At 39.9% G+C, this 26,206-nt stretch overlaps 1 long non-coding RNA gene across 1 annotated transcript in view, besides 1 other annotated feature; it reads left to right on the top strand.

The window, feature by feature from the left end:
• CCDC26 (CCDC26 long non-coding RNA) overlaps positions 1-26,206 on the top strand; it is a 328,546-nt gene that overhangs the window by 42,348 nt on the left and 259,992 nt on the right. The gene's annotated exons all lie outside the window — the stretch shown is intronic.
• Positions 2,821-6,048: an enhancer, noted in NCBI's record as "VISTA enhancer hs1709". NCBI's record gives its function as "enhancer in: melanocytes[4/7]" and the evidence as "EXISTENCE:transgenic organism evidence [ECO:0001131][PMID:17130149]".

The raw sequence follows: 26,206 nt of genomic DNA, 5'->3' as shown, positions 1-26,206 counted from the left end.
GCATAGTGGTTCAAGAATGGTCCCTAGGCCCACAATCTCCTGGTCTGAACACTTGGTTTTACCACATACTTTTCTGTTTGATTTTGACTATGTCACTTAATCTCTTTCTGCCTCAGTTTTCTCTCTTGTAAAATGGGGATAACAATAGCAGCTATCCTATAGGGCTGTTGTTTAGATTATATTGCTTAATATTGCATATGTAAAGCATGCATTCACCATGCATTCGCCATACCTGGTACACAGTAAGAGAGAAATAAGTGTTAGTAATTAATATTGTTATTATTTTCACTGCACCAACTGGTCATTTAGGAATATTGTCATTTAAAATACTTGATAATTTCTAACACAAGTAAAGAATACTTTAATTGAATTATGCAAGTTTTTCTTAGTCAAGGAAGCCTAATTAAGGATATCCAAAGAGCTTCTTCAGCATGGTGTTTGTAGCTTGGTAGTTGATAGCTTCTTCTCTCTCTCTTTTTACTCTGAAAAAAATCACTAAAAAGACTTTTATTTTCTTCTTTTTTCTAACCGATGAAAAGCACATCAAAGTACAGAGTGTTTGACAAGAGGACCAGTTGGTTCCATTCAGGGGCACATTATGAATTGTTCACTTTTGACAGGGGGAACAATTCATTACGTTTTGTTTATGTAGCACCTCCCAAGGGCCCATTTCTAAGTGGTTCACAAAAGGCTTGGTCTCATTGGAACACACTTATCCTTTGGGGTTCCCAGGGACTGAAGATCATGTGTGCAAATAAAATAAACTCACCCTGAAGGCCAGTAATTTAGATTAATAAAGAGCTATGTTTATACAACTCCATTAACAAAATTCTACATGGCAAGTCGAACCCAATTTTCTCAGGCTGCACAACTGTTTCTAAACAAGACTTGATGAAGAATGGTTAGTTTGTGGGTATACACAATAAGGAGAAAGTCTTTTCATAGTCTTCAGATCCCTGAGTCTCTATTTCTATACCCCTCCCCTTTTTCAGGAGGCCACTCAGAGGTTGAAGCAGCTTGAATATGGAAGATTCTGTGTCTGCAGGAGTTAACTCAGGCCCACTATGCACCCACTTAACCCTCCATCCTTCCATCATTCATTGATTCATGTACTTATTTAAGAAAAATCTCTTTCAGGTACACGACAGCACTAGTGTCCCAGCTCTTTGCGCATATCTTGCTCCTCCAATTTGGTAGGAGAACCAGGCAAGGAAAAAGCGTATCAGGATTGAGCGATCCCTACGTTACATAATACCCAGTGACTTCTATCTTGATCTTCATGATGTCCATGTGAAAGACATAGGGCTCAGTTTTATCCTCTCTCTCTGCTAAGAGAATGAATGCCCAGAGACGTTCTAACTTTGGGCAGTTATGAGACTTGTCCAAAAGAAAAGAAACTCCTATTTATTTGGCACGTATTTTGTATCAGGCATGACATGAGAGGTTTTCATGTTCATAATCCTATTGCATTGTCCAGGAGACACTGTGAAATGTGTGTGTGTGTGTGATGTGTGTGTATGTGTATCCACTTGATAGATGAATGAGGAAGCACAGAACAGTTATGGAAATGCTGAGGTCACCAGGAAGTGGGAGGCTAAAAAGTTGATTGTTTTCTAATGGCTTCATTCTGCCTCCCCAGAGACCACATGGGATCAAAGCCCTCACCCACTGCCAACCCTAGTCCTTCTGTGACATCCTGGCTTTCTTCCCCTTTTCTCCCAAGGTTTCAATGAGAAGGGTCAGAAAGGAAAACCACAGTGCCAACACAAATAGCTGAGGAAGGACCAGGGTGGAGAAGGGCCCTTGGGAGTGTGTGGTTGTACAAAGATAACATTTTCCACGAGGGCTAAGGAGCCCAGGGACCATGTGCCTTTCCCATTGGCATTTCCTGACCAGTGGCTGATCAGCCTTTCCCTCCTTATTTATACCCTGACTCAACAATGATGGAGGTTTGTGCTCTGAGAAGTCTTTGTAAACTCTTCCTAGAAATTCTGTTCTTTTGGCTCCTGTACTGGCTCTCATTATTTTCTTTTCTTCCTAGATGCTTAGCTCACTTGAATTCAACGATTCTCTCTGTTAGGTGATCCCATATCTGTATTTCCAGCCTAGGCCTGTCTCTTGAGCACCATGCATCCCATTCATGAGGGTGCCCATGTATCTGTATCTGAATCTGTCTACCAAGGTACTCTATTCTTGCATTCTCTATTTTAAGTAACAGTAACACTCTGTACCTTGCATCTTCTAATCAAAATTAATTTATTGATTGAAGGTCATTACCAATGGACTTATCTCACAGTCTTTTTTTTTCCCCTTAATTTGAGTACTTATCAGACAATGTGCTAAATGCTAATGCACAAAACATAGAAAACGAAGTCCTAATCTTCATTAAGCTTCCAGCCCATGATTGCATGCATATTGTGTGTCTGTATGTGTGTGTATTTGGAAGGTGCAGAACAGTAAAGACAATGCTCTAATGCAGTGTGATTGGTGCTATAATAAAGGTAAAATTAGACTACACAAAAGAGTTGCTGAACTCTGAACTCAGATAGGAGGAGGGGTAGTTAGTGGTGCTGGAGAAGCTTCCTAGGGGAGACAAATGGATCATTTGTCCTTTCTCCCACAAAATTTTACCTCTTTGAACCCTTTCTTTTGCTAGGAGAGCTCTTCCCATCTTTCTCCCTCTACTTCAATACTCCTTATCTCTCAGTTCCACAAGTCTTAACTCCAATATTTCTTCCTTGAAGGTCTTCCCAATGTCTACAGGTAGCACCAGTCAGATTTCTCTCTGCATGATGTTTACTCTTCCATTATAACTCTGCATTCTTCTGCCTGTCATATGGTGATTTTTCCACATATGTTACCCTCCTAGGGTTAACCCTTTTCTATGCATTTCTGTGGCCCTCCCTGCTCTAGCACCAGCCTCCAGGCTCAGACTGTGGTAGACATGTTTATTGTTGTGTGAGTTTGTCAAGGGTGGTAGGGAGTGCACACAGATTCATCAACACTCTTACATACTCAGTCACTCTGAGACCAATGGGCAATTAGTAATAAAGTAGACAGACTGATGCTACCTGGACTAGAGAGAGGCTCTATCATGGGGCCCAAAGCAACTGAGCTATTGGCTACCATGTGGCCATTTAGTGGCTGGTATAGAGCAGTTGCTCAATAAAGATTGCTTGAATAAATGAATGTATTTAGAGGTGAAGGTATGGAAGAGTAGAAGTCCTTTCCTCCCAACTGCTACTATTGCTATAGTAGAGCAATCTATCCCTCACTAACTACTACTACTAAAGGTGTTGCTCTAATCTTAGGTGTAATTTAAACATGCTGTGTATTTGAAACAATTTCTTTGGAAGACAGGAAGAATTGGAAACATAGGTAACACATTTTAAGGATTTACCCTTATGCTAGGTACTCTCTAAACTTTTTTTCTTTTTTTGAGATGGAGTCTTGCTCTGTTGCCCAGGCTGGAGTGCAGTGGCGTGATCTTGGCTCACTGCAACCTCTGCCTCCTGGGTTCAAGCAATTTTCCTGCCTCAGCCTCCCAAGTGGCTGGGATTACAGGCATGTGCCACCACACTTGTCTAACTTTTGTATTTTTAGTGGAGATGAGGTTTCACCATGCTGGTCAAGCTGGTCTTAAACTCCTGACCTCAAGCAATCCACCTGCCTCAGCCTCCCCAAGTGTTGGGATTACAGGGGTGAGCCACCGCACCCGGCCACATTCTTATATAACCAAATTTTATCTTCCTATAGATTGTAGGAGGTAATATTACTATCCTTGCTTTAGAGATAAGGATATGAAAGCTTACAGAAGTTATAAAAGTCATATAGATAACATGTGGCAGGGCTGGAGTTCGAAGTATGGCTTGCCTTAATCCAATGCTCATTTGTTTTCAGGGCCCAACCTATAATATTTTCAGTTCATTAAAAGCTGAAATATGTGTCTGGCTAAAGATTCAGTCATCATTTCATTCCAGGTCCTCCAAAACCCTTTAATTGTCTGGGTGAAGGAAATGTAAACCCTGTTAGAGGTGAATTTCTTATTTCTATATTTTATTTGTCTTAAGAAGCACATTTTCAAGGGAATGAGGCAGACTTTTCAGCTCTCTCTGACTGGATTGTGTGCTGGTCAGGATGATGCTGATATGTTAGTATCCATGGGATGTCAGTTCTCCTCACAAGCTCTATCTGTCTGCGGCCACCATCAATAAAGCCCTTTAAACAGATCTGTACATTTGGGGGCCGGCTGGTGAGGCACGTGCCATGAAGCACCCCTCCCTAATAATCAAACTCTTGTAAGCTGTGTTGAATGAGATTCTTTCTCCCAGGGGCTGTATATGTTTGTTTGCTGGCATGGTCCTAATGATTTAAAGAAAAATGCCGGAAACCAGTCCCGCGCTCTTCCCTGAAAGGAACATTGGCCCTTTGTTCAAGAAATGCATTTGCAGAACGGCTTCTGAGCAAGTCCTTGGAATTCCTCATGGTTTATATGTCTTTGTAAGCTCCTGGCATTGAAGAAGCAAGGTTTTTATTTGGCTTTTTTCTCCCTAATGAATCCAACATTGTATTGAACACACTCTCACTCAATTTTGATAAAACCAGCAACCCACAAAGCCAACTTGAGTGGAAAGAGCAGGAACATGAGTAAAATTTGACATGCTTATAGGCTGCTTGGCATTAAAAGGTTAGGAATGTGGGTATCGAGGCTGGAGCCCCATTTTTCACTGCATTTTCTTGCATTCTCTTTGTTCAGGGATAGCATCACATTTGTTTTAGTGACTGCAATACTGCTCACATATACAGCATTTAAAAATATTTTCCATGCACCTTCTCACAGTCTACTTTTTGACTTTCTTAGTAGGCCCACTGGCTGACTTTGAGGGAAGAACAAGGGGTAGCTTGGGAGATTAGGGATTTGTGGTAAACGGATCCATGTTACAAACCTTGCTTCCTCGACTCCTATCTATGTGATATAGGGAAGGTTCAGCTCTGTGAACCTCACTGTCCTCTATATAAAAAATGGAGATAATAAGGCTATTTGCTTACATGATTGTGATGGGGATTAAATAAGATAAGGTGAGTTGCCTAATACAATCACACCTCAGGTGCTTGACAAACAGCTGCCTCCCTCCTCCTCTTCTGCTCTGTCTTCCTTGAAAGGCAAGCACACTGAGTGGCAAGTAAGTTAATAGACAAGTTGTATTAGTTTGCTTGGGCTGCCCAAGCAAAGGTACTGCAGAATGAGTGGCTTAAATAACAGCGTTTTTTGTTTTCTCATAGTTCTGTAGGCTTGAAAGCTAAGATTGAAGCGTTGGCAGGATTGGTTTCTTCTAAGTCTTCTCTCCTTGGCTTGTAGATGGCTGTCTTTTCCTGTGTCTTCACGTGGCCTTTCCCCTGTGTGTGTCTGTGTTCTAATCTCCTCTTCTTTTTTTTTGAGAAGAGATTTCATTCTGTCACCCAGACTGGAGTGCAGTGGCATGATCACAGCTCACTGCAGCCTCAACCTCCCAGGCCCAAGTGATCCTCCTGCCTCAGTCTCTCAAATAGCTGGGACCACAGGCATGTACCACCATGCCTGGCTAATTTTTAAATTGTTTGTTGAGATGAGGTCTTGGTATGTTGCCAGCCTGGGCAATATAGCAAGACCTCATCTTGCCAGGTTCTCAAACTCCTGGGCTCAAGTGATCCTACTGCGTCAGCTTCCCAAAATGCTGGGATTACAGGTATAAGCCACTGCACCCGGCCTTTTCTTCTTATAATGACACTAATAATACTGGATTAAGGGCCACCCTGATGACCTCATTTTAACATAATTACCTCTTTAGTGAATCTATCTCCAAATAAAGTCACATTCTGAGGTATTGAGGATAGGGAGGGCTTCAACATTTGAATTTTGGAGAGACACAATTCAGCCCATAACACAGGTGGAGCCTGGTTGGCACCAGTGAAAATTCTGAATATAGAAGAACATGTAATTCTGTGTCTTCCCTTCTCCAAATTCTCTGAGTGAGCCACAGGCAAGTGGTACTTGGCTGTCCCCTGCATCCCAGATTTTATCTGGCTTAAGTCCCATCTTAAGTCTCACTTCCCCAATTAGATTTAATGTCTTTTGAGGCCAGCATGTTTTGGCCACATTTGTAGCTCTGAGCTCATGTTTCACCATGATGGGAACAAGAAAACACTTCAGAGGCTGTTCAGTGTATCCTGGGATGTATCCTGGATTATACAGCATCACATGCCTAGAATATAGCTAGATTCTTAGGAAACGTTCATGCATTCTTTCAGCAAACATATATTGAGCATGAATAATAGTCTTTGCCCTTGAGAAGCTCACAACCTACTGGGGAAGACAGACTAATAGACATAACCTCTGATTAATAAACATAGTTTCATTGGAGCATGACAGGCGTAGTAAAGAGGGCTACAGGAGCACAGATAGGAGGGGTTAAAGTTTGGGAGAAGTGGCAGGTAGTCTGGGAAGGCTAGAATTCTTGGGTTTTGTTCCTGAGAGTATGGACCACAGACTAGCATTACTGGAATCACCGGGAACTTGTTATCAATGCAGAATCTCAGGCTCGACCTCAGAGCTATAGAATCAGAACCTGCTCTGTTGCTGGGCTTGCAGTACAGACACTGAAAATCAAGGTACATGCAAGGGATAGAATATAAATGAGTACAATAGGTGAGTGTACGAAAAATCATATAGCTCTTAGTCTGTAATTTATTTTCCCCAGCTTTTTATAGAGCTATAATTTTTGAGAGATAGATAGCAACAAAAAATAAGTGTTCTCCCTTTCATACACTACAGTTACTGTCAAAGGTGGATATCTGTTTGGAATTTATATTTCTCTGTCCACCTTGCATCTGGCATAGACATATGACTAGCTCCTACCAATGAAGTGTGAAAGGAAATGATGTATGTCCCTGATATGATTTGGCTCCATGTCTCCACCCAAATCTCATCTTGTAGCTCCCATAATTCCCACATGTTGTGGGAGGGACCCAGTGGGAGGTGATGGAATCATGGGGGTGGGTCTTTCCCATGCTGTTCTCATGACAGTGAATGGGTCTCACAAGATCTGATCTGATGGCTTTAAAAATGGGAGTTTCTCTGCACAAGCCCTCTCTTTGCCTGCTGCCATCCACGTAAGATGTAACTTATTCCTCCTGGCCTTCTACCATGATTGTGAGGCCTCCTCAGCCATATGGAACTGTAAATCCAATAAAACTCTGTCTTTTGTAAATTGCTCAGTCTCGGGTATGTCTTTATCAGCAGTGTGAAAATAGACTAATACAGTCCCCTCTGGCCCAGGGCTCTTAAGAAACAGATGGGGATTTTCTACTCTCCCTTTCCCGATTCTTTGGGTGAAGGCAAAATATTGAAGCCCAAGGAAATCACACAACTACAAGATGGAAGGAGCCTGGGTCCCTGAGTCTTCATGTGGAGGAAAACCACCACCATCAACTGCTGCAAGACTATAACATAAACCTGTATTGCATTAAGTTTTGGAGATATGTGAGGATCTGCTTTTACAGCAGCTAGTGTTCCCCTAACTAATACCCATGGACAAACTATTTACCATAAGGACAACAACAACATAATCACAGTAACGAATGGAACTGACACTGACCTGCAGTGTTGATGAAGCAATGGGGAGTGGTGGGGCCTGTGGTGAACTGGAGCACGCCTGCCGTGTAAAAGGACACCTCTATTCACCTCTAGCTGATCACTGCCTTGTAGAAATATAGGCTCAGTATTGTCAGACTTCCAATTTAAAAATCCTGGCTCCCTTAAAACAAAACAAAACAAAACTCTGTGCCAAATGAAACACATCTATTGGATCAGTCTATTGTTGGTAGCCAGATTGCATATTCTTCGCTAGCTGGTAGCCATCAATGAGGCCACCTTTTGCCACTCTGCTGTCACCACCAAAAATTGTGCATATGAGGGAGCTGTGAGGGCTTTTGGAATAAGGCATTGTTCCTAGTAAACACACCTGAAATGATTGTTGTATGATTAATAGAACAGAGGATGACTTCCAGCCCCCAGGGCTGTTGGTAAGATTGCTGCTACTACCGTGGCTCCTGCTTCTGCTACTAGCATTTATGCACTGTGGCTTTTGCTGCTATGCTGTAACCATTATGTGCTGTTTTGTCCCCTGACAGCTATTTTTTTCTTTCATTTAATCCTTCCAACAACACCCTGAGCAGTATTGTCAGCATTCTATTTTGCTAGAGAAAAGCTGAGGCACAGAGGAGTGGCTTACTGTGGCCACGTGGCTCACAGTACCAGAGCATTCTCACCTTGAACCTTGCTACTTGAGCCTGGGGAGTTTCCTAGGCCCCCTGACATGGTCCAGTGGAGGCCACCTTGAACACTTTGGAGATGCTTAGGTTCAGAATGGTGTAGTATAGAGGACCAGAGTTGGGTCACCTTGACCTGTCAGTCTTATGACAAACTCCACTTCTATTTGGAGGGGTTTTTCAATGTTGAGTGTGGGAAGGAAGGACTTGAAGGGAGAGAAAGCAGAGTTGGTTATTTCCCCCCTTTTCCCTAGATGAGGGGGTGTGGCACTCGGCATCTAGGTCTGTGGAAGTTATATTCCTTCTCTGTGCCTTAAAAGGGAATACCATGTCTTTCAGGGGATTCTGAACATCTCTGAAGCTATCGGTGCCCCTCAATGGATCTCTGTAACTTTTTAGCTGTGTGGCCATGTGCAAATCACTTGACCATTTTGAGACTCAGTTTCCTCCACTGTAAAATGAAGAGACTAGAACAGCACCCGTGGTGGAGAGTAATCTTAGGGCTCGAGGAGATAATAAACAGTAAAGGCTGTGCTGGGCACAGAGTAGGTCCGCTGTAAATGTTAATTGAATCATCAGCAGCCTGAAAGCATTTTGTGGATGGACCTGAATGAGCTGCACACACGAGTGATCATCATTCTTCACGGGCCGGGGCATCTGCCAGCTTGCCGATGAATCTGTCCCCAAACTACCAAGCCTGGGCTGTGGACGCATTTCTGGATGCCCAGAGGCCGGCTTTGCAAAGAGAAGCAAACAACAGCATCTATTCACAGGGTCTTAGGCTTGGCCTGCCAGAGCCCACGAGGGGTTTGGACTCAGAGAGCTATTGAAGGGAAGCCACAAAGACACGTTTTCTCCCCTGCGGCCTGGAGTGAAGACAGAGCGGCCCAGGCACAAGAAGGGGGTTGTTTTGCGTCAGCCGGCAGCCGGCAAATTCTGTCAAAGCAGCTGAAGGAGAGAAGTGGTCAAAACACCCAGGAAAAGCAAGAGCTGTGGCACGGGCAGGAGATAGGAGATAAGGAGGCTGCTGCGAGCACACTGGCCCCTTCATGGGCGCTGGCAGCCACGCTCCCGCCATTGTCTGGCACCGCAGGCTGTGATGATGGGGCCTTTCTTCTTTTTCTTCTTAAAGAAAGAATTTATGTCAGAGGAAAGAGAGTGTGCGTTGTATGAACAGTGACTGCCAAATGAAAATCTTTGGTGTTAAAATAGTGAGGCCCCAAATCAAAATGGCCCTTTGTCCTGTGGTGGAGAAGGTGGGAGGGGCGCCTTCCGTTGCAGGCTGGCTGCCTTCTCCTGGCTGCTGCACCAGCGAGGTTCTTGCCGTTACAAATGGATGTCAGGGTGGCTGTCCCTGCTTCATGTCCAGACCCTGCTCCCAGCCATTTCCCTGGGGTCCTCTCACCCTCATGGCTCTGGTTCATGCTGTCCCCTTTGCCCCCTGCCTGGAAGAATTATCCTTTTCCTACTCTTCTTCCTTGTCCTGTCCAACAGGCACCTCAAATTCAACATGTACAAAATGGATCCTGGTGTCTTTATTCCCTGCATCAGAAGTAGCTCCTGAGTTTTCATCATGGAAAGGATTCAAGGAAGGCATCAACCTTTGTGAAAAGAGGATGAAGGAACCAGGGGATTTATCACAAATCTGTTCACACCACCCTATGCTTGTCCATAGCAAAGAATTGGGGTGGGGGCTGATGAGGATTGCAGAGGGAGAAACTAATGGCTCCTTCCAAGGAGTTTCATGGAAATGATGATCCTGTTCCCGTCATTGCTCCTCCTGTGCTTCTGTGCTGGCTGATGATGTTGGTTTGGATAGAATCCATGCAGAGGTGGTAATTTTCAAACCAGCTCAGTCCCATTATCTTACAACAAGCATTTACTGAAGGCATGCTATGTGCCTATCACTGTCAACCAGACAAGGACCTGCATACCTGTAAGTAAGACCATAGCCCTAGAGACTGAGGTCAGCTGAACTCATGAGTCCTGCTTTCCATCCATGGAGAGCCAAGGCTCTCAGAGTGTCCTTTGGGAACAGAGATGACTGAGCAGGGGTTCACCTAGGCTGGTTTGGAATTCACAGTGTTTTTTTTTTTTAATTACAAACTAGAAATCCAATTTTTTATAAAAAAGGATAAACTCGAAGTTGTAATCTCTAGGGAGACATTTATAGCATCTTCTTTGACTTCAGCATGTGAAAGAGTAAGGAAGGATAGTCCAGGCCAAGGAATCAACTTTTGCAGGGAAGGGAATTTTGTAGGGTAGTCAGAGGCCAGTGTGTCATTCTCTGCGGTTACAGTGTACTGTAGGTGGTGCGAGGTGACATAAGCAAAAGTGCCTGGAGCTTAGTGGGTGATGACTAAATCAGTATTCTTTTCCTTTCTTTCCCTTTCCCTAAGCCTCGGCTGATGCTTCTCTGTCAAATCAGGTTCATTGTCAGCCTGCTGGGTTTTTTTTTTTTTTAGTATATCGACTATAGTTAAGACTTCAATTTTTCCAATTAGTATTTTAAATTATATAATAATTAAATTCATCCTGTTAAAAAATTAACCCTTGTAAAAATGATTATTCTTCTCTCCAGAATGAAGTGCTGTTACATTTTTCTTACATATCCTTCAGAAAGACTTCTGTATATATAAATGTCCATATGTTTTCTTCTTTTCAAAATAAATCATATTATAAATTATCCTCTGTCCCTTATGCTTCATTTAATAAAGTAACAAAGAGCTCTTTATTATCAGCCTGTAAAAATCTGACTCTCTCTTCTAAACAGCTGCATAGCTTTCTGTGATGTATTTCACCAAGCTTCTTTTGTTTTCAGTAATTGTCTATTAAAATTTGCATCAGTGAATATTATTATGTGTATTTATTTGCAAACATATCTGTATAGTATATTTCAGGAAGCAGTATTTCTTGGTTAAATGGTATGTACATTATTATTTTTGAGAGATATTGCCAAATTGTCTTCTGACAGTAAATAGCCTCTACAGCAAATAGCTGTTTCCTCACATGCTCATCAATACTGGGTGCTATCAGACTTTTTAATATTTGCTGATATTATAAGGGAAAACTGGCATCTTAATGTTTTAAAGTGCATTTCTTTAAGTGTGAGTGAGGTTAGGTATTGTTTCATGTGTATTAACCATTCCAGTTTATTCTTCTCTAAAGCACCTGCATCTTTCTTGTCTTATTTTTTGTTAAATTTTATATCTGGTTTTTGTTGATTTGTAATTATATATTTCTGGTAGACAGCCTTGAGGAAGTGCCCAGTAATCTTCACCTCTTAATATTCATCATCCTGTATAATCTCCTCCTCTTGAGTGTAGGATGGACTTATCGACTCACTTGCAATGAATTCAGCACTGCAAAAGTGATGGGATCTCACCTCCAATATTGGGTTATAAAAAGACTGTGGCCTCTGTCTTGGGTGCTCTTTCTCACATGTTGATAGGTTGTCTAGCTCTTACTCTATTGGAATACAGCTGCCATGTAAAGAAGTCCAGGTTGTTCTGAAGGAGAGGCCAAATGCAGCAGAAGGCCCAGGAGGATAAGAGCTGACATGGGGGAAAACTCAGCCAACCTGGCTGACAACAAGCACCAACTGCTTTCCATGTGAGTGAACCTTGGAAGAGGATCTTCCAGACCGAGTTGAGCCGTCAGATGACTGCAGCTCCTGCTTGCAGCTTGACTGCCAGGATTAGACAGATTAGAAAAAGACAGACTGGGCTGGGTGCAGTGGCTCACACCTGTAATCCCAGCACTTTGGGAGGCCGAGGTGGGTGGATCACCTCAGGTCAGGAGTTCAAGACCAGCCAGGCCAACACGGTGAAACCCCATCTCTATTAAAAATACAAAAATCAGCTGGGTATGGTGGTGTGTGCCTGTAATCGCAGCTACTAGGGAGGCTGAGGCAGGAGAATCGCTTGAACCTGGGAGGTGGAAGTTGCAGTGAGCTGAGATCGTGCCACAGCACTGCAGCCTGGACAACAGAGTGAGACTCTGTCTCAAAAAAAAAAAAAATAAAAGAAAAAGAAAGACTGTGTTCTTTTGCTTATATTTGCAAATACAATCTGTTTGATATATAATACAATACTGGGGAATCCAGAAAAGTATAGAAGTATAGGGAAGTGAAACAGATATGCATTCAATTTCTAATTCTGTCTCTTATTGGCTGTGGTCTTAGGCAGGTTAATTAACCACTCTAAACCTCAGATTCTTCATAATATTGTTGCTATATGTGGGTCACATATACCCATATAAAGAACAGATTAAATGCATTTTGCAAGGGCAAAGACTTGCCTACTTAAAATTACCAATACTCCTCAGTACTCCTTAAGTTATCAATATGGGTAAGATTTTGGATGCAGGATGAAATTAAAATCCTAATCAAGGAATGTGGAAGTCCCAGCCAGAGCAATCAGGCAAGAAAAAGAAATAAAAGGCATCCAAATAGGAAAAGAAGAAGTTGAGCTCTCTCTACTGATGATACAATGCAATACCAGAAAAAACCCTACAGACTCTGCCAAGAAGCTCCTGGAACTGATAAACAACTTCAGTAAAGTTTTGGGGTACAAAATTAACGTACAAAAGTCAGTAGCATTTCTATACATCAATTACTTTCAAGCTGAGTGCCAAATCAAGAATGCAATCCCATTTAAAATAGCTGCAAAAATATTAGAAATACATCCAGCCAAGAAAGTGAAAGTTCTCTACAAGAACTACATAACACTGATGAAAGAAATTGTAGATGACAGAAACAAATGGAAAAACATTGTTAGACTCCCTATCATTAAATGGCTATACTGCCCAAAGCAATCTACAGATTCAACACTGTTTCTATCAAACTACCAAATGTCATTTTTCACAGAATTAGAAGAAACTATTGTAACATTCATATGAACCAAAAAAGAGCAAAGCAATCCTAAGCAAAAAGAATAAAGTTGAGGGCATCACATTATCCCACTTCAAACTATGGTAAAGGCAACAGTAACCAAAGCAGCACAGTACTGGTATAAAAACAGATGGATAGACCAATGGAACAGAATAGACAAGCCAGAAATAAATCTGTACACCTACAGCCATCTGACCTTCAGCAAAATTGGCAAAAATAAGCAGTGGGGAAAGGACTCCCCCTTTCACCATATACAAAATTTAACAAAAGACGAATTAAAGATTTAAATGTAAGACCTCGAACTGCAAGAATCCTGAAGGAAAGCTTAGAAAACACCATGCTGGACATCAGCCTTGGGAAAGAATTTATGACTAAGTCCTCAAAAGCCATTGCAACAAAAACAAAAATTGACAAGTGAGGCCTAATTAAACTAAAGAGCTTCTTTATAGCAAAAAAACCCCCAAAGAACAAAAAACAAAAAACTATCAACAGAGTAAACAGGCAACCTACATAATAGGAGAAAATATTCACAAACTTGACATCTGACAAAGGTCTAATATTTGGAACTTAAACAATTGAACAAGTAAAAAGCAACCCCATTGAAAAATGGGCAAAGGACATGAACACATACTTCTCAAAAGAAGACATACAAATGGCCAAGAACACAAAAAAATGCTCAACATCACTAGTCATTGGAGAAATGCAAATTAAAACCATGAGAGACCATCTCACACAAGTCAGAATGGCTATAATTAGAAAGACCAAAAAACAAAAACCAAAAGAAAACAAACAAACCCAGATGCTTGGGAGACTGCAGAGAAAAGGGAACACTTGTACACCACTGGTGGGAATGTAAATTGATTTAGCCACTGTGAAAAGCAGTTTGGAGATGTCTCAAATAACTTAAAACAGAAGTACCATTTGACCCAGAAGTCCCATTACTGGATATATAGCCAAAAGAAAATAAGTTGTTATACCAAATAGACACATGCATTCATATATTCATTGCAGCACTATTCACAATAGCAAAGACATGGAATAAACCTAGGTGCTCATCAATGGTAGATTGGATAAAGAAGACGTGATACATATATATCATGGAATACTATGCAGCCATAGTCCTTTGCAGCAACATGGATGTAGTTGAAGGCCATAATCCTAAGCAAATTAATGCAGAAACAAAAAACCAACTACCGTATGTCCTCTCTTACAAGTAGGAACTAAGCATTGTGTACTCATGGTTATAAAGATGGCAACCACAGACACTGGGAACTACTAGAGAGGGGAGGGAAGAAGCGAGGAATGGGTTGAAAAACTATTGGGCACTATGCTCAATACCTAGGTGACGGGATCAATTATACTCCAAATCTCAGCATCATGTAATATACCCAGGTAACAAACCTGCACATGTACCCTCAAATCTAAAATAAAAATTAAAATTACGGAAAAAAAATCAAGGAATGCTGACTTTCCAAGAAACAGGACCTATTTTGAGACTGGCCTCATAATATATAATTTATATTCAATATTTTATATAATCCTGTCCTCACTGTAGCCTTTCCAAACAGGTATTATTATCTTAATTTAACAGATGAGAAAACTGAGTCTCAAAGAGACTAAATAACCTGCCTAGGAACACGAGAACACTAAATGGGTTAGTCAGGATTTGGACCCAGTTCTGTTCAATCCCCAGTCTCATGTTCTTTCTCCTTCTCTACATTGCTTCATCCAATTAAGAAAAATCCATTAATGCGACATACTTATTATTTGTAAAGCTATATTCTAAATTCATTGTTTATACCTCAGTCCTTTCATTTTCAGTCCTACACAGGTTTCCCCTTCAACAGGGAATCTTGCTTTGCTCATCAAGCTGAGGTCGAGGAAGTCAGGCAGAAGATTTAACGTTGACATTCACAAGGCTCTAGAACAGCTAGTGATAAATTTCTTCCCATCCCTTCCCCTGAACACTCTTTCAAAAATAAAGGATTGCGACCTGATCCTGCCTCTTGCTCTTTGATTGTTATTACATTCTTTTTGGATTAAGCGTGTTCAATTTCCTTGGGAGGAATAAAGTATGGCCATTTAAGCGAGGCGAGTGTAAGCCCCTTCAGTAAACTCTTTAACGGGGGTTTTTATGAGATGTATTTTCATCTCATTGAGCTTTTTATTTCACTAAGTTTCTTTCATCCATAGAAGCAGGTGAAGAAAGGGAAAATGATAGCAGAGAAGAGAAGAGCTTTAGGAACTTGAAAAGAAAGAGAAAACCGAAAGAAGCTGTCCCCACACTTGTTTACTTATAAGCTCCAACAAGCTCTGTGAATGCCAAATAGCAGAAGTCTTCATCCTTGGTTAGCACTGTGGGATATAAAATAGGTCACTTGTTAAGAGAACTGACCAATTTATTTAGACATTCATTTCATCATTCATTTATGCATAACCATTCATTCATTTATTCACTCACTTGATTGTTAGAGCATCCATCCGTATTAGAAGTCCTGTATTTATCAAGAACAGGATCTGTATTTGATAAGTTAATCAAAAAGAGTTTTTTTTGAAAAGGAAATAAGCATTTAATAAAAGTACACATGTACACCTACATTTTTTTAACTTAAAACTTATGTCTGCATATTTACTCACCCATATTCTGATACAAAGCCAAGTTTGTTTATTGGTTTTAGTCTTCTTTTCCAAAAACAAACAGGCAAACAACAAAAAACAAACAAACAAAAACACCCATAATACATCATCCATGTTTCTAGTTCTAGTTTCCTTTAAGTGGATCAGGAGCTTAAAGATACTTTTGAAGTTATTTGACTTTAGACTTCTATTCATAATTTTTTTCCTCTAATATTTTATGGTTGTTTTTACCAACAATTAATTTAGCAAAAATTTTAAAAAATCAACTTGCCCATTAGAGTACACACATAGAGACCATTCTTGGGTTTGAGGCTCTTTTGAATGTTAGTTTACAGAAAAACCTTTTATTATTGAGACTTCTGACTTATGTTCAGGAAATGACTTTTATGTACAATTTTTTTTTCTTTTTTATTATTATTATACTTTAAGTTTTAGGGTACATGTGCACAATGTGCAGGTTAGTTACATGTGTATACATGTGCCATGCTGGTGTGCTGCACCCATTAACTCGTCATTTAGCATTAGGTATATCTCCTAATGCTATCCCTCCCCCCTCCCCCCACCCCACAACAGTCCCCAGAGCGTGATGTTCCCCTTCCTGTGTCCATGCGTTCTCATTGTTCAATTCCCATCTATGAGTGAGAACATGCGGTGTTTGGTTTTTTTGTCCTTGCGATAGTTTACTGAGAATGATGATTTCCAATTTCATCCATGTCCCTACAAAGGACATGAACTCATCATTTTTTATGGCTGCATAGTATTCCATGGTGTATATGTGCCACATTTTCTTAATCCAGTCTATCATTGTTGGACATTTGGGTTGGTTCCAAGTCTTTGCTATTGTGAATAGTGCCGCAATAAACATACGTGTGCATGTGTCTTTATAGCAGCATGATTTATAGTCCTTTGGGTATATACCCAGTAATGGGATGGTTGTACTCTAATGAACAAAAACTGCTGTTTGAGTCTTTTCAACAAAATGTATGGACACTAATAAGCAATAACAACTATGTATTGAGCATGTTAAAAATCTAAGTAATCAATGGCAGACTGGATAAGGAAAATGGTATATTTCTTTGGGGTGGTACATATACACCATGGAATACTATCCAGCCATAAAAAAGAACAAGATCATGTCCTTTGCAGCAACATGGATGGAGCTGAAGGCCATTAACCTAAGTGAACTAACACAAGAACAGAAAGCCAAACACTGCATATTCTCACTTATAAGTGAGAACAAACATTGAGTATGCAATTTACCTATAAAACAAATCTCCACATGTACCCCTGAACCTAAAATAAAAGTTAAAAAAAAACCTAAGTGGCTAAAAAAAAAAATCAACTTGCCTTTACCAAAAATTTTCAATGAATTCAACTTAGTTTTCATAGAAACACTAATTTCCTTTTTAATACTCGGATTCCACAGGTTGTAGATTATTTTATTAAATACATACATGCAATATTAGCTAACTCTGAGGGCTTCTACTGTTCTCAGTGCTTGACCTAAATTCACTTATTAATTGTCACAACTAGCCTGTAAGGACAATGATATGATTACCCCCATTTCTCAGGGGAGAAAATGGTGGGAACTGGCTTGATAGACATGTACAGGTGACTTTTGATGAACATGTAACCGAATGGATGAGTCCAGAAGTATGTGATTTATAGCATGTAGCTTATTAGCTAGAGCTCTCAGGTTTGTGGGCCTCAGCCAACATGTGTGCACAAGTTAAGAGTGACCAAGTTAGTCTTAAATAAGAGAGTACAGTTAAGAGGACTCTTACTGTAATGAGAGGGAGGATGGAATAATGGAAAGAGGATGCATTTTGGGGTCAAACCAACTTGAGATTGAATAAGGGTGCTGACGATTACTAGCTGCTTAACTCCAAGAACCTCATTCCTTGTCCATAAAATGGGAATAATTGTAGTTTATTGGGTAGTCTGTTTTCTCATTTATTGATTTAATACAAACTTTTTTTTTCAAGCACCTTCTAGTGTTCCAGGCACCAAACAGTTATAAGATTACATAAATAAACAAAACATTAAGTTTCCCTACCCTCATGGAACATGAATTTTGGGTATAGAGAAAAAATAAATAACTAAATAAACATGGTCAGAAGTGCTAGGTAGGAAAATAGGGTAAAATGATACAGACACATAGAATGTAAAGATTCATTTGTTCATTCACTCATTATTGTATGCTCAGTCAACTAGTATTTATTGGATATTAATATTTATTGAATACTTACTATGATTCAGGCATAATGCAATGATGAGTAAGATAACATAGGCAACTATACTAGACGCTACAGCATTATGGATGTAAAGATTAATAGCGGAAAATCCCATATTTTCCAGAAGTTCAGTCTAGCTGGGAAAATCACTGATTAAAAAATAGTATAGTAAACACTCTACCAAAGGAAGCGCAAAAACAATGAGAGCTCAGTGGAGGGAGAGATGGAAATATTTGGAACAGAAATAAAATGGATAAGCATTTAATGTCAGAAAATAAAGTGGACTTTGATGGCCACATTAGGTATCAGAAGTCTGCAGGGCTATCATGCATATTGTGTACTGCACAATTCCAGAAGGTACTCTTCAAAGAAACTAAGATATAAATGGTGGGCCCTAGAATTGTGCAGTGTACAACTTCCAAATCCATACCCTGAGGCCCTACCAGACGCTTTGAAGGCACTGATTTTGACTAATGTTATTTTATATTGAATTGTAAGTGAGGGAGGTGATGGCTGAAAACATGATCTTCTCAGAGCTAAGGACTTCTAGAGGAATATGTTTGGCCCAATGAAATAGATGGCAAAGGAAATAATTTTAATTGTACTGGTAATTTTTATCATGAAGGTATAGATGGATTCAGTTTCATGGGACCTGAAGCTTATATACATAATGAGTATTTTAAAAGAAAAAAGACAATTAGAAATAGAAAATTCTTTATAAAACTGAATATTTATTTGGTATAAGAATAGATATTACAACAAATTAAAAATTACAAAAAGTCAACAGAAGCACTCAATGTGGGGACCTAACCACATTTTCTTGACACTCAGTTTTCTAGTAAATGCCTCAGGTTCCTACTACAAGCTCTTGCACCTCTCCTCCCAATGTTTGAAGGTAGTGGGATGGAAGTGTGGGGGAGTTAATGCCTCTGGGAGCCTGCCACCCCTAGGTGGTGAAGGATGAATATTTTGTTGGAGGATAAACACCTGTTGCATGGGACAACTGTCAAACATTTCCCACGCAAACTCCTAGAGCTCCCCACTGTGATTGGGCTCCAGATACCACAGCAACAACTTGCCCAATAACACATTCTAGAAGTTATCTTCCTTTCTGTCATTTTCTCACCCTCCTGCTAGTATTTTGTGGTCAGGACTAGCTACAGGATTTTCAGGATCCAGTGCAAATTAAAATTGTGAGGCCCTTGTTGAAAAATTATTAAGAATTTCGAAATGGTAATAGCAGAGCATTAAACTAAGTGCAAAACCCTTTTGAGCACAGGCCTCGGGCAACTGCATAGGTTGCTTGTTTGTGGAGCCGTTCTTGGTGCTGGTATCCTGTCTCAAACTGTTTGGATTCTCCCTGTCTCAGGATTTGCTTCTGGGGAAACTCAACCTAATATACAGGGATAGCCCTAAAATCTCCCAGATGAAGACAGAGATTGTGTATTAGTCCATTTTCACGCTGCTGATAAAGACATACCCAAGACTGGGAAGAAAAAGAGGTTTAATTTGACTTACAGTTCCACATGGCTGGGGAGGCCTCAGAATCACGGCAGGAGGTGAAAGGCACCTCTTACATGGCAGCAGCAAGAGAAGATGAGAAAGAAGAAAAAGTGGAAACCCCTGATAAACTCATCGGATCTCGTGAGACTTACTTACTATCACGAGAATAGCACGGGAAAGACCAGCCCCCATGATTCAATTTACCTTCCCCTGGGTCCCTCTGACAACATATGGGAATTCTGGGAGCTACCATTCAAGTTGAGATTTGGGTGTGGACACAGCCAGACCATATCATACTGTATTTTTATCAGTTAAATGCCTGACCCATATTTATAATATTTTTTCTTTACTTTTGACTGTATATTCTCTGATTGTTTCTACATGTAATAGTTTTGTAATATTTTATTTGGAGAAAAATGGAAAGATAATTCAGTCCTTCCTTTAAATCAATGCACAAGGTATTTTTATTTTACATAACTAATAGCTTAGAAAAGCTTCAGCCTCGGAGCCCATTAATAAGTCTTGTAAATTTTTAGAATTGTTATCCAATTTTGAAAAATTTCTGAAGTTTTCTTCTTACATGAGCAATCAGGTTTCAGGGCATTTCTATGTACTGACAAATTCTAAACTCTCTTTTTAATAGCTTTCTACTGTTGCTTTAGCAAATTACCATAAATGTAATGACTTAAAACCATGCACATTTATTACCTTTTAGTCCCGTGGGTCAGAAGTCTAACACAGATATTACTGGAGGGAAATCAGTGTTCTAGCAGGGCTGCATTCCTTTCTGGAAGCTCTAGAGGAGAAGCCATTTCTTTGCATTTCCCAGATTCTAGAGGCCACCCACATTCTTTGACTAGAGATCCTGTTCCTCTGTCTTTAAAGTCCACAGTGTTCTCTTTCATGTATCCTTTCATGACCTACTCTTCTGTCTCTGTTTTCCATTCTTAAGACTCATGTGATTAGATTAGGTCCATCCAGATAATCCAGGATAATCTCCCCATTTTAAGGCTATAACCTTAATAACATCTGCAAGGGTCTTTTGGTGATGTAAGAGAACATATTCACAGGTTCTGGGCATTACAAAATGAGCACCTTTTTGGGGTAGCCAATTTAGCCTACCACGCTCTTTTCACTGATGACATTTATTAACAAGTTTGTCCTTGTTGCCTTGTTTAGTGGTGTATTATGAATTTATTGCTTTGTCAGTGTCAGTTAAACCAGGAGGGAACATAAATATTTTTCCAATGTGTTTATAGGATTCACTCCTCTTTATTAATTGGACTACCAAACTATCTGAGAGCCTATTGATTACTCTATTAAAAATGTTTTCTTAGTGAATTTACTACCTTAGGTATGGTCTGATTGTTTTTTTTTTCTGGCAATTTACTTCTTGAGGTCAGAATAATTTGTACCAATTCTTGTCACTCTTATGAATTGCTGTTATTTCATATTCAATTTTTTATGTGAACTTTGTATCCATTATTTAATATCTAAATTAAAAATGACAAAGGTACCTTTATATATATATTATCATCAGGACTCTGTCATTTCTTACTTATTTAATTGACATGAAATGTCTCTCCATTTGCAGATAAAGAGACACATTACCAACTCACCTTCCACAAAGCTATCCTGCAAATGCTGCAGCCATAGCAATGCCATTGACATGAAGGGAAATATAATGAGAGGGAAGAGTTTCCTAAAGGATTCCAGTTAAAATATCTTATTTTTGCCAATTTTACAAAAAATATACAAGTATGCGAATGCACTGTTAGAGCTTCTGCCAGAAACGTGGAACGGGCCTAAGGCTTAAACTTCTTTAGCGTAATGTAAATATGTCTTCATTGCTGTGGACTGCAGTGGAAGGGAACTTAGCACAGCCTGGAAGTGTCCAGAGAGACTTGCCAGAGGAAGCATTTGCTTAAGCCAAGTCTTAAAGGACAAATGGAATTTAGCCAATCACAGACAGAAAGGAAGGGTCTTCTGGGCAGATGGCATGATTTGCTTAAGCACAGAAGTGTGAGTGGAGTTGTTCAATGTGGTGGAGGAGAAGGAGAGGAGGGAGACAAGGAGATTCAGCTGATGGGAGAGGCAAGAGGAAGAGCATGGGTTTTATCCCATAGAAGAGTTATAAACAGAGATCACAGAGAGCTGGATCTATGTTTTAGAGTCATTATGGTTCTGCCTAAAAGAGAATTGGATGGGGGAGCAGGAGTGACTTCTTTAATCTGTTTTTTTTCAAAGCAAATTTATAACCACTATCCCTGTGGACCAGCACTATCCGGCAGCACTTGCTGGGATGATGGAAATGTTCTACGGCTGCACTGTCCAATGTGGCACACCCCTACATGTGGCCATTGAGCATTCAAAATGTGACAGGTGTGGCCAAAGAACTAAATCTTCAGTTTTATTTAATTTCAAATTTTAAAAATTTAAACAGTCACACACATGGCTAGTGGCTAGCACATGGGACAGCACAGCTTTAGCTCTTCAAAGAGAAAGTCTATGGGATATTCAGGTTCATCAGTCTGAACTTGATAAATTTTAATTTTCGAGGAATCATTCTGGGTTCTAGGAAGAATTTAAGCAGTACAAGACATAGATGGACCATAAATTAATGGAATTTATGATCAGGACAATGCTTTGTGTCAAAAGAGCTGAGTGAATACTAACAAAAAGAATTCAGAATATGTAAACAAAAAATGGCTATGAGAATAAATATTCAGTGCAACATTAGTTGTACACAACCTAAACATGCAAATATTAAGATTGATTAAGAAAATGATAGCCTCCATCCATGCAATGGAATAGTATAAATAATGCAAAAGCATATTTATTTCAGTGGAAAGATGCTTATGATATAGTAGGTAGCAGAAAACCATATTATAAAATCGTTATGAAAACATTTTTAATGAAAATATGCTTAGAAATATGTTAGGTTGTATTAATACATAAAATACAAATAGAGTGGTTATCTCTGAGTTGAAGGCAATTGCTTCATTTTTCTATCTTCCTTTTTTTGCCATCTCTATAGTATCATATTTTTTTTTGCAATGAGAGCGTATTGCTTTTATAACAAGAAAAATAAGAAAACAATAAAAATAAGTTATTTTTTAATTCTTAAAGGAGTGAAGTAGACATCAAGATCTCAAGATCTATTGCAGTTGAGAGAAAAGATATCTCAGTAGGTGAGGGATGGGGTAGGCAGGGAAGTCCTGTCACCAAAGTTGAGCTTTGGAAGGGAAGGGGGAGGTCAGGGTGGAGAAGGGAAGAAACAGTTCTTGAGCCCCTACTGTTTGGTGAATGTTCACATGTGTTATCTTCTTTAATCCCCACCATGACCAGATAAGGTAGGTACCAACATCATGCTGTTTTACAAATGTGAAAAATCAAGACTCTAATAAATGAAATAACCATGTAAGTAACATTAGTAATCTTGAAGACAGAAGACTGGAGGTTTGCTTACTGGAGGTTGCCAGCTTTTTCTACTGGATGAGTTTCATAATATGCTGGCTCTCATTCGTATATTTATTTGTGTAACGACTGTGTGTAATGTTTGTGTAATGACTAGACTGGAAGCTCTGTGGGAGCAGGGACTGTGTGTGTTTAGTTCACTACTGTGTCTACAGCCCTTAGCAAAGAACTTGGCACACACCAGGCTCTCAATTAATATTGCTCACTGTATTCAAATATATCAGGGGTCATTAATTCCTGTACTTTTAACAGATTGTTTAGATTGACAGATTTAGATAGCTTGGAGGGACTCAAATGAGATAATCAGCATGAGAAGACTTTGTAAACTGTAGAATCATGTACCCATGCCAGGGGTTTTTATTTTTGAAAACTTTCCTTTACTGGCTTTATTCAAGCCAAAAAAAAATATTTTTTGGAACTACTGATGATACTCCTGCAAGAAGATTTAATCTTGAAATTCTTGGAAAGTAGCACAAAAGCATTTGGTCCTAAACTCATCTTATGAGGTTTTTTGATTATTAGTCAGAACATCAGGGCTTATTGATATTTTTAGAAATATTCCTGAACCATCTCTTATTTTAACCAAATTACGAGATAAATCGAGACATGTGAAGTAAGATCGATGTGTTATTAGTTGCATGATCATTTATCATCAGCTCCTAACACAAATATTAGGAAATATGGCCTTTTCTATTTCTGTGGTCACACTAAAGGAGGCCGATTGTCTTCTTGCGGAACTGAGTGAGGGTAGGAGAATAATGGGATACAGCCTGTGTACTCACAGGATGCTGCTTATCACATTGCTAATCACATTCTGAGAAACTTTATTTTTATACGTTTTCCTTGCTGTAGTTATGAGAACACCGTCTTTGTGCCAAGTGAAGTTGGCTTGAAAGTGACTTTGTCACTTTTCAACTGTTATGACTTCAGACGAGCTTCTTGCCTGCTGCCAGCCTCAGTTTCTCCAATTTGTAAAATGGAAACAGTTATGCCAACCTTGCAGAGCTATTAGGAGAGATTAAATGAAATGATGTGTACAGCTTGCCTGACAGAGTGCTTGGCTGAAAGTACTTAATACAAATTACCTTCTTTGTCTGTTTTCCACATTTGTGGTTGACAACCCTTTCCAAACAGACACTTACTCTTCCGAATATCAGTGTATAAAATGATTTTATGGAAGCACAGTGATTTTATGGGTTAAAAAGTGACATCTATTCCTGGGGCTGGAATCTTCAGACCACAGGTTAGATTCTGTAGTTTAGTGCAGCAGAAAGAACCCAATGAAGTTTCACAGAACCATAGACTACTAGAGCAATGGGGGACATTGCTCCGGAAAACTGAGGCATGATGAAGAGAAGTGACCTACCCACAGTCTTATAGCTAGTGGCATGTGTGGTGGGTGGGATTCACAGCACGTTTAAGGAAGAAGCTCTACAAATTGTGTGGGATGTTATCTGATCCTTAGGAAAGCTGCCTAGGATGGGATGAGAGCTCTCGGTTAAATGTGTTAGCCTCTGGGACAGTAAATCCCTTCTGAATCTTAGGTGCTTAGCTTAGTTGATCAGTATGTTTATGTACTATCTCCCCATATGTGTACAGGGAATTTAAAATCAAACTCTTGAGTGTTAGGAAGGGTAATCTTTCCAAAACCAAAGAGGTGACGCAGGCAGCCACACTGGCTGCATTTCTGAGAATTCTGGGTTGCTGTCCATCTCCATGAAACCATTCTGAAGCCAATGGACAGGTAGGCCACTTTTGTTCAAACTAAACAATTAACTCATGTGTTTATTTGATTCATTTATTAATTCCTTCACCAAAAGCTCATTGAGTCCAGGCAATTAATCAGACACTTTAAGTATGGAAGTTATAGAAATGCACAAAACACATCCTTTTTCTGTGGAGATCATGGTCTGCTCTTTTCTTAATCCTAATTCCTTCCTTGAAACTCTTCTAGGGTCCGGCCTGAACTTAGCCTGAGACTCCCCAGACTGAGGCAACACAGCTTACCACCTGTTGAGGGCTGATCTAGCCATAGTGCTGGAAGACAGGGTGACAGTTCTATAGCTCCTTCCTTCATTTTCATGTTACCTGGATGTGACAATTTCTCCATAGGTGCTGTTTCTATTCTCATCCCTACTTCTAATCCTGTGTCTGCATCACCTAAGCAGGGCTTAGCAACTCTCTTCACTCCACCTCTCTCCCTTCCCACATCAGCTCCATTCTTAGTGAGTTTTAAATTTTTTAGTTGAATATTTTATATTGGAGATGGAAGGGAAAGTTAGGTTATATCACACATCACCCAAAATACTTCATAAACACTTTTAGTTGACCATGCTCTTTTCCATAACATCTCTTCCCCTGGCTACATACTGCCTATGTCTCTCTTCCCCTTCGGTCTCAATTATCTTCCCCAGACACCATATCTCTCCAAGTTCATTAATGTTAGTTCTTTTTCTTCCATCTTAGCTACAATTTGCATCCTCACCACCTTTGACAATGTAACACCCTTCTTAGAAGGAAGAAGGGAGTTGGAAATAAAATATACTTTTTTCCTGGCTAAAAGTAAGTGTATCTTCCTGTTCTACAGATGGGTTATCTCAGACAGGGAAAGCAAAATCACTTTCAAAAGTTTGAGCCTCTACTTCACAGCCTTTCTTTTCTGCCCCCAGAAGGATTAGTTATACATCATGCTTGCTGAAAGCGTAATATATTGAAAATCAGAAGAGTGCCATTGGGTGTCTGTTTAGAATATAGATGTCCGAGTCAGGAACACTCTGAATTCAACTCTTGGGCCTGCCACTCACTAGCTGGGAGATCTTGGGCAAGAGATATCCCTTGGCTAAACTTCAGTTTGCTTATCTGTAAAATGAAAACAATAGTACCTTTGAGACATGGGAGCTATGAGGATTAAATGAGGTAATGAAAAGGCTCTTAGTTGGGTACAAGTCATTGATGATCCAGGTTAGCAGTCGTAATTAGGAATCATGTGGCCAAATAGTAACATCAGCAACATTGTAAAAATGTTTCTGGGCAAGGTGCATTGGCTCACACCTGCAATCCCAGCATTTTGGAAGGTCAAGCTTGAGCCTAGGAGTTCAAGACCAGCCTGGGCAACATGGTGAAACCCCATCTCTACAAAAAACACAAAAATTAGCCA

The sequence above is a fragment of the Homo sapiens genome, chromosome 8 (assembly GCF_000001405.40).
Source record: "Homo sapiens chromosome 8, GRCh38.p14 Primary Assembly".
In the NCBI taxonomy this organism is placed as follows: domain Eukaryota; kingdom Metazoa; phylum Chordata; class Mammalia; order Primates; family Hominidae; genus Homo; species Homo sapiens.
The sequence above is the reverse complement of the archived record's forward strand: the minus strand, read 5'-3'. Positions and strand labels throughout refer to the sequence as shown.